Raw genomic sequence first — 19155 nt, 5'->3', positions numbered from 1 at the left:
AATCAATAAAAGCTCATGATCAGATGTATTCACAGCTGAATTCTACCAGACAAATAAAAAAGAGTTGTTACCAATCCAACTGAAACTATTCCAAAAAAGTCAAGGAGGAGAGACTTCTCTCTAACTCACTCTATGAAGTCAGCATCATCCTAACACCAAAATCTGGCAAAGAAAAATAATACACAAAAATAGGTAGCATTTCTATATACCAATAACATTTAAAGTGAGAGCCAAATCAAGAATGCAATCCCATTCACAATAGCCACAAACAAAAATAAAATACCCAGGAATTGATTTAACCAAGGAGGTGAAAGATCTCTACAAGGAGAACTACAAAACACTGCTCAAAGAAATCACAACATAAAATATAGAAAAACACTCCTTGTTCATGGATTGGAAGAATCAGCATCATTAAAATGGCCATACTATCCCATGCAATTTACAGATGCAATGCTATCCCTATAAAACTACCAACATCATTTTTTAAAGAACTGGAAGAAACTATTGAAAATTCATAGGGAACAACAACAACAAAAGAGCCTGAATAGCCAAAGCAATCCTAAGCAAAAAGAACAAAGCAAGAGGCATCACATTATCCTACTTCAAACTATACTACAAGGCTACGGTAACCAAAAAGCATGGTCCTGGTACAAAAATAGACAATAGACCAATGGAACAGGATAGAGAACCTAGAAATAAGGACATACACCTACAGCCATCTAATCTCTGAAAAATTCAACAAAACTAAGCAATAAGGAAAGGACTCCCTAGTCAATAGTGCCATCATAGCTGGCTGATATGCAGAAGAATAAAGCTAGACCACAACCTTTCACCATATACAAAAACTGACTCAAGATAGATTGAATATTTAAATGTAAGACCTCAAAATATGAAAATCTTAGAAGAAAACCTAGGAAATCCCCTTTTTGATATTGGCTACGTTTTCAAAAGCTATTGCAACAAAATCAAAAATTGACAAGTAGGACATAATTAAACTCAAGAACTTCTGCACAGCAAAACTATGAAGGAAGTAAACAGACAGCCTGCAGAATGGGGGAAATATTCATAAACTGTGCATCTGACAAAGGTCTAATATCCAGAATCTGTAAGAAACTTAAATAAATTTTCAAGCAAAAAACCCACCCTATTAAAAAGAAGGCAAAAGACATGAACAGACACTTCTTAAAAGAAGACAAGCTGACAACAAACATATGAATAAATGGTCATCGTCACTAATCATTAGATAAATGCAAATCAAAACCACAATCTCACACCCCTCAGAATGGCTTTTGTTAAAAAATAAAAAAACAACAGATGTAGAGGATGCAAAGAAAAGGGAATGGTTGCTAATTCCAATAAATATATTTGAGTATTTACTGTGTAGCAGAAATGGTGCTAGACATATTTGATGCATTCAATTGCTATTGATTGAGGGGACAATCATTTTCATGGAATAAAAGTTCTCAGTATTTTCAGATGTAACCAAATAAGCTCACAAAGGAAATACGTGACTAAATTTTTTATTTTTTTTAATTTTTTTATTATGCTTTAAGTTTTAGGGTACTTGTGCACAACGTGCAGGTTAGTTACATACATATACATGTGCCGTGTGGGTGTGCTGCACCCATTAACTCGTCATTTAACATTAGGTATATCTCCTAATGGTATCCCTCCCCCCTTCCCCCACCCCACAACAGGCCCTGGTGTGTGATGTTCCCCTTCCTGTGTCCATGTGTTCTCATCGTTCAATTCCCACCTATGAGTGAGAACATGTGGCGTTTGGTTTTTTGTCCTTGCCATAGTTTGCTGGGAATGATGGTTTCCAGCTTCATCCATGTCCCTACAAAGGACACGAACTCATTATTTTTATGGCTGCATAGTATTCCATGCTGTATATGTGCCACATTTTCTTAATCCACTCTATCATTGTTGGACATTTGGGTTGGTTCCAAGTCTTTGCCATTGTGAATAGTGCTGCAATAAACATACATGTGCATGTGTCTTTATAGCAGCATGATTTATAGTCCTTTGGGTATATACCCAGTAATGGGATGGCTGGGTCAAATGGTATTTCTAGTTCTGGATCCCTGAGGAATTGCCACACTGACTTCCACAATGGTCGAACTAGTTTACAGTCCCACTGACAGTGTAAAAGTGTTCCTATTTCTCCACATCCTCTCCAGCACCTGTTGTTTCCTGACTTTTTAATGATTGCCATTCTAACTGGTGTGAGATGGTATCTCATTGTGGTTTTGATTTGCATTTCTCTGATGGCCAGTGATGGTGAGCATTTTTTCATGTGTTTTTTGGATGCATAAATGTCTTCTTTTGAGAAGTGTCTGTTCAGGTCCTTTGCCCACTTTTTGATGAGGTTGTTTGTTTTTTTCTTGTAAATTTGTTTGAGTTCATTGTAGATTCTGGATATTAACCCTTTATCAGATGAGTAGGTTGCAAAAATTTTCTCCCATTCTGTAGGTTGCCTGTTCACTCTGATGGTAGTTTCTTTTGCTGTGCAGAAGCTCTTTAGTTTAATTAGATCCCATTTGTCAATTTTGGCTTCTGTTGCCATTGCTTTTGGTGTTTTAGACATGAAGTCCTTGCCCATGCCTATGTCCTGAATGGTATTGCCTAGGTTTTCTCCTAGGGTTTTTACGGTTCTAGGTTTAACATTTAAGTCTTTAATCCATCTTGAATTAATTTTTGTATAAGGTGTAAAGAAGGGATACAGTTTCAGCTTTCTACATATGGCTAGCCAGTTTTCCCAGCACCATTTATTAAATAGGGAATCCTTTCCCCATTGCTTGTTTTTGTCAGGTTTGTGAAAGATCAGATGGTTGTAGCTATGCGGCATTATTTCTGAGGGCTCTGTTCTGTTCCATTGGTCTATATCACTGTTTTGGTACCAGTACCAGGCTGTTTTGGTTACTGTAGTCTTGTAGTATAGTTTGAAGTCAGGTAGTGTGATGCCTCCAGCTTTGTTCTTTTGGCTTAGGATTGACTTGGCAATGTGGGCTCTTTTTTGGTTCCATATGAACTTTAAAGTAGTGTTTTCCAATTCTGTGAAGAAAGTCATTGGTAGCTTGATGAGGATGGCATTGAATCTGTAAATTACCTTGGGCAGTATGGCCATTTTCACGATATTGATTCTTCCTACCCATGAGCATGGAATGTTCTTCCATTTCTTTGTATCCTCTTTTATTTCATTGAGCAGTGGTTTGTAGTTCTCCTTGAAGAGGTCCTTCATATCCCTTGTAAGTTGGATTCCTAGGTATTTTATTCTCCTTGAAGCAATTGTGAATCGGCGGTCACTCATGATTTGGCCCTCTGTTTGTCTGTTATTGGTGTATAAGAGTGCTTGTGATTTTTGTACATTGATTTTGTATCCTGAGACTTTGCTGAAGTTGCCTATCAGCTTAAGGAGATTTTGGGCTGAGACAGTGGGGTTTTCTAGATATACAATCATGTCATCTGCAAACAGGGACAATATGACTTCCTCTTTTCCTAATTGAATACCCTTTATTTCCTTCTCTTGCCTGATTGCCCTGGCCAGAACTTCCAACACTACGTTGAATAGGAGTGGTGAGAGAGGGCATCCCTGTCTTGTGCCAGTTTTCAAGGGAATGCTTCCAGTTTTTGCCCATTCAGTATGATATTGGCTGTGGGTTTGTTATAGATAGCTCTTATTATTTTGAGATACATCCTATCAATACCTAATTTATTGAGAATTTTTAGCATGAAGGGTTGTTGAATTTTGTCAAAGGCCTTTCTGTGTCTATTGAGATAATCATGAGGTTTTTGCCATCGGTTCTGTTTATATGCTGGATAACGTTTATTGATTTGCTTATGTTGAACCAGCCTTGCATCCCAGGGATGAAGCCCACTTGATCATGGTGGATAAGCATTTTGATGTGCCGCTGGATTCGGTTTGTCAGTATTTTACTGAGGATTTTTGCATTGATGTTCATCAAGGATATTGGTCTAAAATTCTCTTTTTCTGTTGTGTCTCTGCCAGGCTTTGATATCAGTATGATGCAGGCCTCATAAAATTAGTTAGGGAGGATTCCTTCTTTTTCTATTGATTGGAATAGTTTCAGAAGGAATGGTACTAGCTCCTCCTTGTACCTCTGGTAGAATTCGGCTGTGAATCTGTCTGGTCCTGGACTTTTTTTGGTTGGTAAGCTATTAATTATTGCCTCAATTTCAGAGCCTGTTATTGGTCTATTCAGAGATTCAACTTCTTCCTGGTTTAGTCTTGGGAGGGTGTATGTGTCGAGGAATTTATCCGTTTCTTCTAGATTTTCTAGTTTATTTGCGTAGAGGTGTTTATAGTATTCCCTGATGGTAGTTTGTATTTCTGTGGGATCACTGGTGATATCCCCTTTATCATTTTTTATTGCGTCTATTTGATTCTTCTCTCTTTTCTTCTTTATTAGTCTTGCTAGCAGTCTATCAATTTTGTTGATCTTTTCAAAAAACCAGCTCCTGGATTCATTAATTTTTTGAAGGGTTTTTTGTGTCTCTATTTCCTTCAGTTCTGCTCTGATCTTAGTTATTTCTTGCCTTTTGCTAGCTTTTGAATGTGTTTGCTCTTGCTTCTCTAGTTCTTTTAATTGTGATGTTAGGGTGTCAATTTTAGATCTTTCCTGCTTTCTCTTGTGGGCATTTAGTGCTATGAATTTCCCTCTACACACTGCTTTGAATGTGTCCCAGAGGTCTGGTATGTTGTGACTTTGTTCTCATTGGTTTCAAAGAACGTCTTTATTTCTGCTTTCATTTCATTATGTACCCAGTAGTCATTCAGGAGCAGGTTGTTCAGTTTCCATGTAGTTGAGTGGTTTTGAGTGAGTTTCTTAATCCTGAGTTCTAGTTTGATTGCACTGTGGTCTGAGAGATAGTTTGTTGTAATTTCTGTTCTTTTACATTTGCAGAGGAGTGCTTTACTTCCAACTATGTGGTGAATTTTGGAATAAGGGTGGTGTGGTGATGAGAAGAATGTATATTCTGTTGATTTGGGGTAGACAGTTCTGTAGATGTCTATTAGGTCCTCTTGGTGCAGAGCTGAGTTCAGGTCCTGGATATCCTTGTTAACTTTCTGTCTCGTTGATCTGTCTAATGTTGACAGTGGTGTGTTAAAGTCTCCCATTATTATTGTGTTGGAGTCTAAGTCTCTTTGTAGGTCTCTAAGGACTTGCTGTATGAATCTGGGTGCTCCTGTATTGGGTGCATATATATTTAGGATAGTTAGCTCTTCTTGTTGAATTGATCCCTTTACCATTATGTAATGGCCTTCTTTGTCTCTTTTGATCTTTGTTGGTTTAAAGTCTGTTTTATCAGAGACTAGGATTGCAACCCCTGCCTTTTTTTGTTTTCCATTTGCTTGGTAGATCTTCCTCCACCCTTTTATTTTGAGCCTATGTGTGCCTCTGCATGTGAGATGGGTTTCCTGAATACAGCACACTGATGGGTCTTGACTCTTTATCCAATTTGCCAGTCTGTGTCTTTTAATTGGAGCATTTAGCCCATTTACATTTAAGGTTAGTATTGTTATGTGTGAATTTGATCCTGTCATTATGATGTTAGCTGGTTATTTTGCTCATTAGTTGATGCAGTTTCTTCCTAGACTCGATGGTCTTTACAATTTGACATGTTTTTGCAGTGGCTGGTACTGGTTGTTCCTTTCCATGTTTAGTGCTTCCTTCAGGAGCTCTTTTAGGGCAGGCCTGGTGGTGACAAAATCTCTCAGCATTTGCTTGTCTGTAAAGGATTTTATTTCTCCTTCACTTATGAAGCTTAGTTTGGCTGGATATGAAATTCTGAGTTGAAAATTCTTTTCTTTAAGAATGTTGAATATTGGCCCCCACTCTCTTCTGGCTTGTAGAGTTTCTGCCGAGAGATCAGTTGTTAGTCTGATGGGCTTCCCTTTGTGGGTAACCCTACCTTTTTCTCTGGCTGCCCTTAACATTTTTTCCTTCATTTCAAATTTGGTGAATCTGACAATTATGTGTCTTGGAGTTGCTCTTCTCAAGTAGCATCTTTGTGGCGTTCTCTGTATTTCCTGAATTTGAATGTTGGCCTGCCTTGCTAGATTGGGGAAGTTCTCCTGGATAATATCCTGCAGAGTGTTTTCCAACTTGGTTCCATTCTCCCAGTCACTTTCAGGTACACCAGTCAGGCGTAGATTTGGTCTTTTCACATAGTCCCATATTACTTGGAGGCTTTGTTCATTTCTTTTTTCTTTTTTCTCTAAACTTCTCTTCTCACTTCATTTCATTCATTTGATCTTCCATCACTGATACCCTTTCTTCCAGTTGATCAAATCGGCTACTGAGGCTTGTCCATTCATCACGTAGTTCTGGTGCCTTGGTTTTCAGCTCCATCAGGTCCTTTAAGGACTTCTCTGCATTGGTTATTCTAGTTAGCCATTTGTCTCATTTTTTTTTCAAGGTTTTTTACTTCTTTGCCATGGGTTCAAACTTCCTCCTTTAGCTCGGAGTAGTTTGATCGTCTGAAGCCTTATTCTCTCAACTCGTCAAAGTCATTCCCTGTCCAGCTTTGTTCCGTTGCTGGTGAGGAGCTGCGTTCCTTTGGAGGAGGAGAGGCACTCTGATTTTTAGAGTTTCCAGTTTTTCTGCTCTGTTTTTTCCCCATCTTTGTGGTTTTATCTACCTTTGGTCTTTGATGATGGTGACGTACAGATGGGGTTTTGGTGTGGATGTCCTTTCTGTTTGTTAGTTTTCCTTCTAACAGTCAGGACCCTCAGCTGCAGGTCTGTTGGAGTTTGCTGGAGGTCCACTCCAGACCCTGTTTGCCTGGGCATCAGCAGTCGTGGCTGCAGAACAGCAGATATTGGTGAGCAGCAAATGTTGCTGCCTGATCGTTCCTCTGGAAGTTTTGTCTCAGAGGAGTACCTGGCCGTGTGAGGTGTCAGTCTGCCCCTACTGGGGAGTGCCTCCCAGTTAGGCTACTTGGGGGTCAGGGACCCACTTAAGGAGGCAGTCTGTCCATTCTCCGATGTCCAGCTGCGTGCTGGGAGAACCACTACTCTCTTCAAAGCTGTCAGACAGGGACATTTAAGTCTGCAGAGGATTCTGCTGCCTTTTGTTTGGCTGTGCCCTGCCCTCAGAGGTGGAGTCTACAGAGGCAGGCAGGCCTCCTTGAGCTGTGGTGGGCTCCACCCAGTTCGAGCTTCCTGGCCATTTTGTTTACCTACTGAAGCCTGGGCAATGGCGGGCATCCCTCCCCCAGCTTCGCTGCCCCCTTTCAGTTTGATCTCAGACTGCTGTGCTAGCAATGAGCGAGGCTCCATGAGCGTAGGTCCTTCCGAGCCAGGTGCGGGATATAATCTCCTGATGTGCCGTTTGCTAAGACCATTGGAAAAGCGCAGTATTAGGGTGGGAGTGACCCGATTTTCCAGGTGCCGTCTGTCACCCCTTTCTTTGACTAGGAAAGGGAATTCCCTGACCTCTTGCACTTCCCGGGGGAGGTGATGCCTCGCCCTGCTTTGGCTCACACTCAGTGCGCTGCACTCACTGTCCTGCACCCACTTTCTGACACTCTCCAGTGAGATGAACCTGGTACCTCAGTTGGAAATGCAGAAATCACCCATGTTCTGCGTTGCTCATGCTGGGAGCTGTAGACTGGAGCTGTTCCTATTTGGCCATCTTGGCCCCACCTGCCGCCCCCAAATTGTTTTTATAATTTTTTTCAGAGACTCTTTTTTATGCTGTAATCTCAGACAGCAGAGTTTAATTGCAAGAAGAAAATACGACACACTCATCAATTATAAAGGCATTATTAATATAGATGACAGTAATGATTTCCACTTATGTGTCTTATACCTTCAGTAAATACTTCGATAATTTAAAAGCCTTCTGGGAATTTAAAAGTACACAGGAAAAGAAAATTCATTTTTATTTTTCTCAGTTGCTGCTTAAATTATCTTGTCCAACCTGCTTTTTTTTGTTCAATCCTGACTGCTAAGATGTATTTACAAGAACCAGTTATAGCTAAGTATTCTGAATTGTTTGATTCTCAGGTTCCACTGCCTGCCATCATAAACTCAATTTTATCTGTCAAAGTTAAAAATAAAATGAAATGCACAAACAGACCTGTCTTGGTAATCATGTCAAGACTGCTTTTGTCTTAATGGTTTGGGCTTTTAGCAGAAATGTCATGGCAGTAGTTGGCTCAGGTCATAAGCTATAAAATCAAGGTGGATTTCCAAGAAAGAGAAAGAGATTCAAAGAGATCCAAAGATCACACCAGGGCAAGTCTGATTCACACTAGCTATTGTTTCCCCAATGTTCCTGCCACCCTCCTCAGTCCTTTTTTGTGGGGGAGGGGATCCTTTTCTCTCTTTCCAGATTCTATCTCTTTCATAAAAATCCCCTTTTTCTTTCTGAGTGAACCTCTATTTGAAATCACCCACCAAAAGATGGCATTGTGAGGAGTCATATTCAGTTTTTTAAAGAATTTTATATATCCTAGAACTGTATTGCTAAGAAGAGTTGGTTTTTCAGTTAAGAAAAATCCCTGCCCCACACCCCTTTTCTCCCTCATAAACTGAGAGTGGTACTGTGATCCTTATGGGATGATCTATTTTGGCTTTTAAGAGAAGAACTTTTGTCGCTCTCACTTTAATAGTTTAGTATGACTATTTGGTTCTTAGGTAACTCAAAACAAAAATGATAATAAAATAGAAGTTTAGGGCACTGTCTAGGATGAAACTCAACCAAGGAAATGCTGAGGTTTCTATTGCTTGGAAGCATAACCATTGGCTTATGGCAGGTATTTGACCTTCTAGAAAAATGAAATGATGGTTTTGAATGTTTAGTGCAAACAAATATTTCATATTGTTTATTTAAAAATCCAGTACACCTTTACTAATTTTATCCTACTTCTCAGTGTGTCCTTAATCATTCACATTCTCTCAAGATGTAATGGGGAATCAGAATTGCTAAAGTAATTGCTTAGAGCCATATATCCACACTGTTTCTTTTATTACTGAAGATTAAATGAGGACCAAGTAACTTTCCTGAAATTTCATTTAAACTTTTTCATTTATAGAAGAATCACAACTCATTGGGTTTTACAATATACGTAATCAATTTTATCTAATCCCTTTGAATTCATAAAGCCAGTTTCATATGAGTAGGCTAATACCCAAAGTATTTCTTCTTATTTTCCCTCACCGAACTTCATTAAAATATAATCTTAAGAATACTAATAAATTTCCTAGCACAAGTAGGAAACATTTTAATGTGTTCTTAGCAAACATCTTGCCAATAATAACTACTACTAGAGCCTTCTCAATTGCGATAACTGGCTTTCTATATTAAATTGAATAATCAATTATTGAGTTCTTAATTGTAAGTCAGGTGCAATACTAGGAGTTGTGAATAACATTATCAGTAAAACATGACTTCTAACCTCAAGGAATTTCAATCTAAGTATAAGAGATTAGACAAATACACAGTTGACCGTAAGTTGAGGCAGAATTTGATAACTGAATCTGAAATAAGAACTTCTATGAGAGCTTATAAGGAGGGGAAATAGGAGGTGGTGAGTGAGACACAGGGATCAAACACGGCTTCATGAAAGAGCTGGCATTTGAACTGGACCTTGCAAAGAGTAGGGATTTGACAAGTGAATGTTCAAAGGGTAGGTATTTCTAGATGATCAAGAAATCTGGTGGTAGAAAAATGTGGAACAGGTATGGACAATATGTTTTATGGAGATTATTCTCTCTCTTTGGCACAGCTATTCTTCAGAATACCCATGGTTAGTTCTAGAAATTATGAATGCAGAAGATATAATGTAAAAATAATGCAGGATATAATTCAACTAACTGGCTGAATTTCCAGAGCATACTTCCCCGTGGATAAGGTGAAATCAGAGGTATCCTTAGGTGTATCTACAGGATCCTTCTTCTAATTCATCATAAAATGTTGGTGTAGGTTTCTAGCTGTCAGAGTATCTAAAGTTAAACAAATTTACAAACTTTGCCAATCTAATATTGTGAACAAAAATCTGTTCATTTCACTTTAGGGAATACATATAAATTTTTACTTTTACTTTGGTGTATGTCACCAATACGTATGCACACATATATACAAAATTCAAAAACAGTGAAATAAGCTACTTAGTCTAAGTTTCATTGATGAAATATTCAATTTATTTTCAAGGACCTTTGTAATGGGGGAGAAAGTGAGGAGAAACCTAATGGGACCTAAATAATTATGATATCTTCACAGAGTTCCTCGCTACTGGTGAATCAGGACCTGTCACCTGAGGAAGAGAAAATGGCTAAGAAGTTCTAAAGATTAAAATAATCCACCTAACTTAAGAAAGCTCTCATTCTTTGCTTGCTGTGAGTCAAGTTTACTGTCTCACACATTTAAAGGATGATTACTTTAATTGATAGACCAGTGACAGAATGTAGGAAGAGTAAATTTTGGAAATGAGAAAAGGAGGAAGAAAAATCCTATTATTTTTCTTTCTTTTGGCTAGTAACACAGGGTTTCTGATTTTGGAATTATCACTTTGAATGGGGTATGTTGTTACTTTTCTCTCTACTGTGTCTGTTAGGAAGCATACTTAAATAAAAATAACAGCAACAGCATAAAACCCTTCAATTAGTCCCCATGGCTTACAAGGTAACATACAGATCTCTTCAACATTCAGCACTCTCCAAAATGTAGCTCCTTTCTCTGACATTCTTTCACTATTCATTCAATTACTCTTTTAATCCGTCAGCATTTCTCAGCACCTACGCTCTGTCTGGCTCTACTCTGGTGCAAAAAAAAAAAATCTCCTTGCTCTCAGGCAGAGACATTCTTGTATCTTGACACAATCTTTTGCATTAGCTCAACTGATGGCTCAACAAAAGGTTTCCTGTTATACTCTCCATCCATCAACATATGTGGTATATTCTTTCTGCTGGAAGTATGTCCATTTTTTTTTTTTTTTTTTTTTTGAGACGGAGTTTTGCTTTTGTTGCCCAGGCTGGAGTGCAATGGCACGATCTTGGCTCATCGCAACCTCTGCCTCCCAGGTTCAAGCAATTCTCCTGTCTCAGCCTCCCGAGTAGCTGGGATTACAGGCATGCACCACCATGCCCAGCTAATTTTGTATTTTTTTTTTTTTTTTTTTTTTTTAGTAGAGACAGGGTTTCTCCATGTTGAGGCTGGTCTCGAACTGCTGAACTCAGATGATCCGCTCACCTCGGCCTGCCAAAGTGCTGGCATTACAGGCGTGAGCCCCCGTGCCCAGCCAATATGTTCATTCTTAAAGGCCTAAATCAAGCTCCACATCTTCCCCCATTATAAAGTTTGTTGAATTAGACTAAATTCCACTTTCTGTGCTATTCTTTGATTATAGCTTTTTTGAATTTACATCCAACTCATGCTTGTCAGCTCTCTGCTTCTCTTGTCACTTAGCTAATTTGTATAGATTTATTTTTGTTAGCCTTTCCCCTCACAAGCCAGTCTTTCCCTTCCATTAATTATCACCGTCTCTCTTCTTTGAACTTAATCTAATTTATCAGAATTTCTTGACACTGAAGTTTTCAGGGTAAAATATTCCAGGATGGCTCATGTCAAAATCCTGTAGACTATGATCCATCTCTTTGTTTTAACTGTTCAATGTAGTCATTAATGTTCAGGTCTCATTCTTACAGCTTCTTAAGCACACTTCTATCTAAATATATTATATTGTATTTGGCTGTTTATGAGTCTATCTCACTAGATCATAAGCTCTGAAAAGGCAGGTGTTTTAGTCACCCAAAGATATTTTTTTAAATCGAATGTTACACATCTGTGGAACTTTCTGCTATAGTATTTACTTTCTGTAGAAAAGTAAAGTGTTTTCATTCAAATTTTCAAACACCTGTATATTGATATTAGAATGTTTAGAGCATTACAATTGCGATATTGGGTTAGATCTTTCTTCCATCTATCAATTTATTGCTGGTCAGCTCTAAATCTACCCTTTTTTTGAGCTTGCTTTGTAATAGTGGAGCTGGACTTCCTCCTTTGCCTGCTGACACAGTGTTAAAGTTTGGCAGTACAGGGTGCTGGAGGAAAACTGCAAGGCATAGAAGAAGAAGGAGCTTCTTTTTCCAGGTGCTTTTCTTCTTATTCTCTGGCACAGCTACCAGCAGCTTATCAGAGGCCCAGTGATAACCATGGGCATCTCAGCAGAGGTTTCCTACTCATCACCTCCAGTCCACTAACATCCTCATAGACTTCTCTGACCTCAAGTCAGCTGCAAACACATCTCCTCCAGTGAGATTTGCATCTCAACCCTGGGGAGAGAGGCTCTCTTCAACTTCATTTTTCCCTTGAGTACTCTCCCTCAGCCACAGAGGTAGTAGCTGTTCCAAGCACTTTCTATTCCAATATTCTTTTGCAGATCCTGACTGACACAACCCAGTTTAGGCTGTGTTGTATTTTGCATGTTTTGTGTTTTTATATTCCATGTTTGTTGAGAATAACCATATGTGACACGTAGTCGAAGAGTACACTTGTCCATTTACAGGTAAATGTTTTTCATAGTTCATGCAGTTGATATTTTTATGATTTAACATACTGAATTAAAATGATTTTTTCAAAGTTTTCCTTCAAGGGAAAATGTATCAACTACACAAGCTCTTTATGGTGGAGACTAGCTTTTAAAAATGTTGGAGAATGATGTCAAAACAGATGATAATAATTATAATAATGTTAACAGTTATCATTTACTGAAGGCTTAGCATTTATCAGCCACTATTCTAAATGCTTTACATATATCAAATAATTTCATTGTCTTCAAAATTCTATGAGTTAGTATTAATATTATCTTGACTTTATATATGAGAGAACCAAGGCATCAATATAATCAAAGTTCATAGCATAGACTACCTTGTCTATGGCTTCCCAGATATTGCTGTAAGAAATACTTGAGTGTTTTTGTCAATTGCAATCTCAATATTAAGCCACAAAGATAATGAAATCTTTCTTTCTTTTTTTTTTTTTTTTTGAGACGAAGTCATGCTCTGTCACCCAGGCTGGAGTGAGTGCAATGGCGCAATCTCAGCTCACTGCAACCTCCGCCTCCTGGGTTCAAGCAATTCTCCTGCCTCAGCCTCCCGAGTAGCTGGGACTACAGGTGTGTGCCACTACACCTGGCTAATTTTTGTATTTTTAGTAGAGACAGGGTTTCTTCATGTTGGCCAGGCTGGTCTCAAACTCCTGACCTCAAATGATCTAGCCGCCTTGGCCTCTCAAAGTGCTGGGATTACAGGCATGAGCCACTGCACCCGGCCAGATAATGAAATCTTAATTGGCATTAAATGATTTTTAGTGTCTATAAAAAAAGGGTAATAATTCCATTGGACTTTCACTTTGAGCCATCATTGGAAATATTTAGTTTAGTATGTGTCAGTGCACTTTTAGAATAATTTTGACCAACTAGGATCCGTATAGATGAAGAAAATTAGGATGGCAAAAAGTCTCAAGACAATGACCCTATATAAAAAATAATTGAATTAAATAAGGTTGTTTGGGCTAGAGAAGGATGTTGGGCTAGAGAAGAGCCTTTGAGAAGACAGCTAGAGAAGAAGGGTGCCTAACTTTAAATATTTGAAAGCCTGTCAAGTGGAAGAGGAATTGAATTTCTTCATTGTGGCTCCAGAAGGCAGACTAAGTATTAAAGGGTAGTAATTATAAGGAAGAATGTTACTGCTAAATTTAACAAAGAAATAAGATAATGAATACCAATACCTTGAGCTTCTAGTATGTTTTAAAAAAGAATAGAATCGTAAAATGGAAAATACCATGACACAACATTGTATGTTGTAATATAACACACAGATACATATGCCACAAGAGTCTGAAAACTATTTGTTGGGGATTCTTTTTAGAGAAGAGGATTAATGCATTATAGCATTATATAGTTCTGGGATATTTTTCAAGTTAAAGTTTCATAATTTCATTAAAATTAAGTTACATTGTTAAAATGTAACATTTAGATATCCACCTACAGATTTTCAAAAGCTGATACCCTAAATCTGGCTCACTTTCCCTTAGTACTAGTTCAGTTTCTTTGACTCTCCCCAACCAAACTGATGCGAAGTCAAAAAAAGAAAAATTGCACTACATATTCTCTAGAAAGAAATAAAAACAATACTTTTTCCAAAACCTGTGAGACACAGTGAATACTTGCCTCAGAAAAATCTACAGCTTTAGATGCCTTCATTCTTAAAGAAAAAAGATGAAAAAGAAAAGAACTCAGACCTAATCTCATTAGAAAAAGAGCAACCTATAAGCCAAAGTAAACCAGAAAGAGGTCATTAGTATCAGTTTCAGGTCTGGAAATCTATCAACGTAATCTGGAACAAAAACAAATTAAAAGAGATTACAGATTTTATCTGTAAATACTAAAGAGGCATTTGATAAAATTTAAGAGGCATTTCTTATATTCAAAGTAAAATAGTAATAAGAAAACTACTTAAACACAATAGACTGTAGCAAAAACAAGTGGGGAATATTAATTCAGCATAAAACAGTAAACGTATTCAAATTAAAATGAGAGGACAGCTTTTTATCACCATTATTATTTTAAAATATTGAAGATTTTAGCAAATCTTTTTATACTAAACATTGTCATTCCTCTAGGCACATGCACTTGATTTTCTGCATTGCCCATTTTCCCAAAATACCTAGCTATTTATACATGTCCTCTATTGTCTTTTTGTTACAAGCTCATACTGCACTGGACACATACTATCTAAAATGAGTATTTCATACAAATATTATAGAAGCAAAAAAGAACTGATTTGCACCTTTTGTCAATTATGACCTTTTTGTGTGAACATGACTTATTGTTATGGTTTCTATTTTTTTCCCCACTGATTACTGTCAATTTTTATCCCTAAATCATGAATTTGTAGAAGAGATAGTCTCCCTCCTATTACTATTATTCAAAATTTTTAAAAAATCTCATCACTATTTTACCAGCTGAATTTTTTAAATGTCAAATTTTCCCCTTCCCTGATTATTTTTCTACATAGTCATTTTCAGTGAATCACTTTAACCCTTCCATAAAGTTCCCAGTTAAAGAACATGACTAAATATTTGTTAAACATACGTTTGTAAAACAGGTTGATCCTTAAGATGCTGGTGTTCAGGATAGACAAAACCAGGTGAGTGACTACCCTTCTAGAATTTTATCTGGGATTGGTACATGATACATCATAATTTTCTGTTGATGTCTTTCCGGCATCTTCACACATACAAAATGACATAGCTGAACACAGAGTTCTTGTGTTACAATCCTTTCCCACAAAAATTCTCCACGATTATCTTCACAGTAGTACATCACAGAGAAAACTGAGTTCGATTTTACCTTTTGTCTTAAAGTTAGTCTCTTTTTAAATTTATGGATTCCTATAGATTTCTTTACATTTCAAATTCTAAATGCCTCATTTAGAAAAATCAATGAATTATATATTTTACTTTTTATTATTGACTCATGTTCTATAAAATTGTCATCTTTGGTAATGGCTATTATTTACAGATTAAACTCAATGGTGTTTCATCCCATTTTTTTCTTTTGTTCTCATTTTTGCCATTTTACTTTTCCTCTATTTTTCTCATGGAATATTTGTTAATTTTCCTTAATATCATTTATTGACCTTCTTTTCCTCTGCAATATCAAATCTTTAATTTACTGCTTCAAATGGGGCATTGTATTGCATCTGGTGTCTTAAAGAGTTAACTGATATTTTCCATATTAATCTCTTCTTATTATAATCTATAAATGTTTCTTAGAGGTACTTTCCTTCTGAATATTATTAAGAAAACATTTTATCTAATATTCTTTAGTTTCTAGAAAAAAACCTTATACTCAAAAGTGAGTCCTCTTTGAGCCCTCAAAATATTGCTCTGTTTACTTGTACTGAAGAATTTGTGAACTTCCATTTTTTTTCCTCATTAATTCTTTTTTGTTTGGTTAGGTCAATATTCAATGTTTATATTGATATAACCATATAAATATTATTTACAGCTGAGGAACATACTGTGCAATGATTATATTTCCTTCTTGTACAATCATTGTTTACTTGGCACTTATAATGGTCTACTTTTTTCATTCTTCCTGGAGCATTCCATTGTCCTGCTGCAACCCAGACTGGTTCTCTTTGGGTCTGTTACAAAGCTGTCATCTTGGTACTTCTCTTCACCAGCCACCTTGGGGACTTCCTTCCCTTTTGTGTTAGACCCCCACCCCCCATTTTTTCTGTTAGTTCGATAATTTTGGTGAAACAACCTTTAGATTTCTTAGAAATAGCTTGTGAATAATTATATTTCTGAAAATACAGTTGATTCTCATTATTCATGGATTCTATATTTGCAACTTTGCAAAATTTGTTTGTGACCTCCTAATTAATACTCGCAGGGTTTTTATGATCATTCAGAAACATGCATAGAGGGTAAACATTTTGAGTTACATGTTCCTAGATGAGGTCCAATGAGGTGACACTGCCTCTTTGTTTCAGTTCATACTGCAAATAAGCATCTATGTTATGATCTATTTAGTGCCTCATTTTTCATACTTTTGTGCTTTTTCTTGGTGATTTTGCAGCTTAAAATGCCCCCCCCCCCCCAGTATAGTGCTGAAATGCTGTGATGTGTCTTATAGAGAAAATATGTGAGCTTCTTTAGATGAGCTTCCTTCAGGCATGAGTTGTGCTGCTGGCTGTGAGTTCGATGTTAATGAATCAACATCATATATTGATATAACATACACTAAAGACATGGAGTCTTTAAACAGAAACAAACAGCAAGTTTATGTATTGATTGGTTGGCAAAAATGTTGTGATCAGAGGCTCATAGGGATCTAGCCCTCTATTTCCGCTAGGAGCAATGGTTCAGTATTTGCTAACTCAGTGTTCGCTGTGACTTTACAGAATATAACTTCCACAAATAACAAGAGTCACCTGTATCTTTTAAAAGTCTTTGTGCTTGATTGACAGTGTGTTTGGTTTGATTGATTTTCTGGGCCTTCTGGCTGGAAATAATCTTCCTTCAAAATTTTAAAGGCACTGAGGAGGGGCTGGGGGTTGGGAAGTGAGAGTGGGACCTGGTGTCCTGGGGGGCATAGTGGGCCTGCCTCAGGTTTATCAAACAGACTTACTGGAAAGATGAAACCTCATGAAACTCCTGTTTGACCCAAGTCTACTTAAAGAAGTGGACTGGAATCAGAATACAGCTATATATGCTCCAGTTATTTCACCAACACATCTCCCAGAAGGCTTGGTTTAAGGCCTCTTTGTCTACTGATGATATGGTTTGGCTGTGTCTCCACCTAAATCTCATCTTGAGTTGTAGCTCCCATAATCCCTGCATGTCATGGTAGGGAGCCAGTGGGAGGTAACTGAATCATGGGAGTGGGTTTTTCCTGTACTATTCCCATGATAGTGAATAAGTCCCAGGAGATCTGATGGCTTTATAAAGGACAGTTCTCCTGCACATGCTCTCTTGCCTGCCATCACATAAGATGTGCCTTGTTCCTCCTTCACCTTCTGCCATGATTGTGAGGCCTCCCCAGCCACATGGAACTGCGAGTCCATTAAAACTCTTTCTCTTTATAAATTACCCAGTCTCGGGTGTTTCTTCATAGCAGTATGAAAATGGACTAATATAACTAACCTAGGGTTTTTTTTTTTTAAGGTAGTGGGTCAGCGAACTGCCACTGGAGTTGTCAACCTTGATAATGTATAAAGCATTTTGAGCATACAAAGAAATCTGTGGTTCATTATGTTACAGTTGTGGAAGATGTGACTCGGTGACAGTGTTGCCATGACAACTCTGATAATAGTACATAAATTCATCCTTTCCTGTGCTAAGAGAGAAAGAGTAGATGTTGTTAGCAGTGAATGCAGAGGAAGACAGCTTGGCAAATTGTTATCAACTTGTAGTTTGCTAAGCAAGAAACTGAACTGTTATAAGATTACTCTTGAATGTCTACCACAAAATGTTGGTTTTTACAAAACATTTGGATACATTGGATCTGAAGAAAACTACATATGTCAGAGGTTTCTAAAGTAAAAATCTTTTTAGAAAGACAATTGTCAAAGGAGCTAATCCTACAAAGCTATACTCTCCCTGGAGTTAAAATGTTTTGTTGCCGTAGCCCAGTGACCTCCATAAATACTGGCTTGAAAAAAAATTATAATACTGCAAATATAATGACATTTTAGAAGATTACCTTGGGCTGATGGGATATGCTGTGAATTTAGATTACAAAAGAATATTATTAAGGGGATGATTTTTACCCAAAGGGATAACTTGAATCTTTTCTTGCATTGCATTTTTCTAGAGTGTGGCTTCATTTCTTGGTAGTCAAGAGTACTGACAGTAAAGAGTTCTGTATCTGCTATCTGTGCTGCTTATTTTTAAAAATATATACATTTAATAGGCTGTTTCTTATCATATGCATAAAATTAATTATTTTTGTTTCAAATAAACATATCTAAATACACAGAGAGGTATAATTTCCCACATATTAAATTGTATAAATTAGTTATTATACAAATCTAGTGCAGTTCAATATTTGTTGATCCTATTATGGACAAACAACCTGGCCACGCCTTTTAAAGAAGCAGAATAAATGAAAACTAACTTATAAAATGTGAGGAGATTCAAAGTAAAACAATTTAAATGTTTTACTAAAAGTTTATATAGTTCTATGTCAGTAAAAATTACCAAGTGGCTTATCTGTGAAATATATTAATAATTATTCATTTGTTAAAGATACTTATGAACAAATTATTGCAGGACATCTAACGTACTTTTTAACGGTAAAATTGGGAAATCTCAACGTATGTACTTCTACTTCAATTTTTCTTTTTATCTGAAGCCTCTCTTCTGAATAACATTTTCATCAGAAAATGGAATATTACAAAATTGAGTGGAATGCGATATTTAATAAAATATATTGTACTGGATTTGTCATACCATAAAATTTTGATGGAAGCTTTTCTTTTTAATGTGGTTATAATGGCACTGTTATTCTGGTAACTATCCTGTTTTGATTTTATTGATTTTAATTATTTTAAAAGTTGAAGTCAGAATTAGATACTTTACTGGCACTAATCTTGAGCATTCCATGTTACAA

The 19155-nt window shown here is 37.0% G+C and overlaps 1 protein-coding gene and 1 pseudogene across 58 annotated transcripts in view; one reads left to right on the top strand and one right to left on the bottom strand.

Moving 5' to 3' along the window:
* Window positions 1-19155, bottom strand: part of RALYL (RALY RNA binding protein like) — a 739058-nt gene that overhangs the window by 75186 nt on the left and 644717 nt on the right. The window lies entirely within an intron of this gene.
* Window positions 17699-18283, top strand: LOC100421444 (glucosamine-phosphate N-acetyltransferase 1 pseudogene; annotated as a pseudogene).

Source organism: Homo sapiens, chromosome 8 (genome assembly GCF_000001405.40).
Source record: "Homo sapiens chromosome 8, GRCh38.p14 Primary Assembly".
NCBI classification, from domain to species: Eukaryota; Metazoa; Chordata; class Mammalia; order Primates; family Hominidae; genus Homo; species Homo sapiens.
Note: the sequence above shows the minus strand (reverse complement) of the source record. Positions and strands in the feature narration are given on the sequence as shown.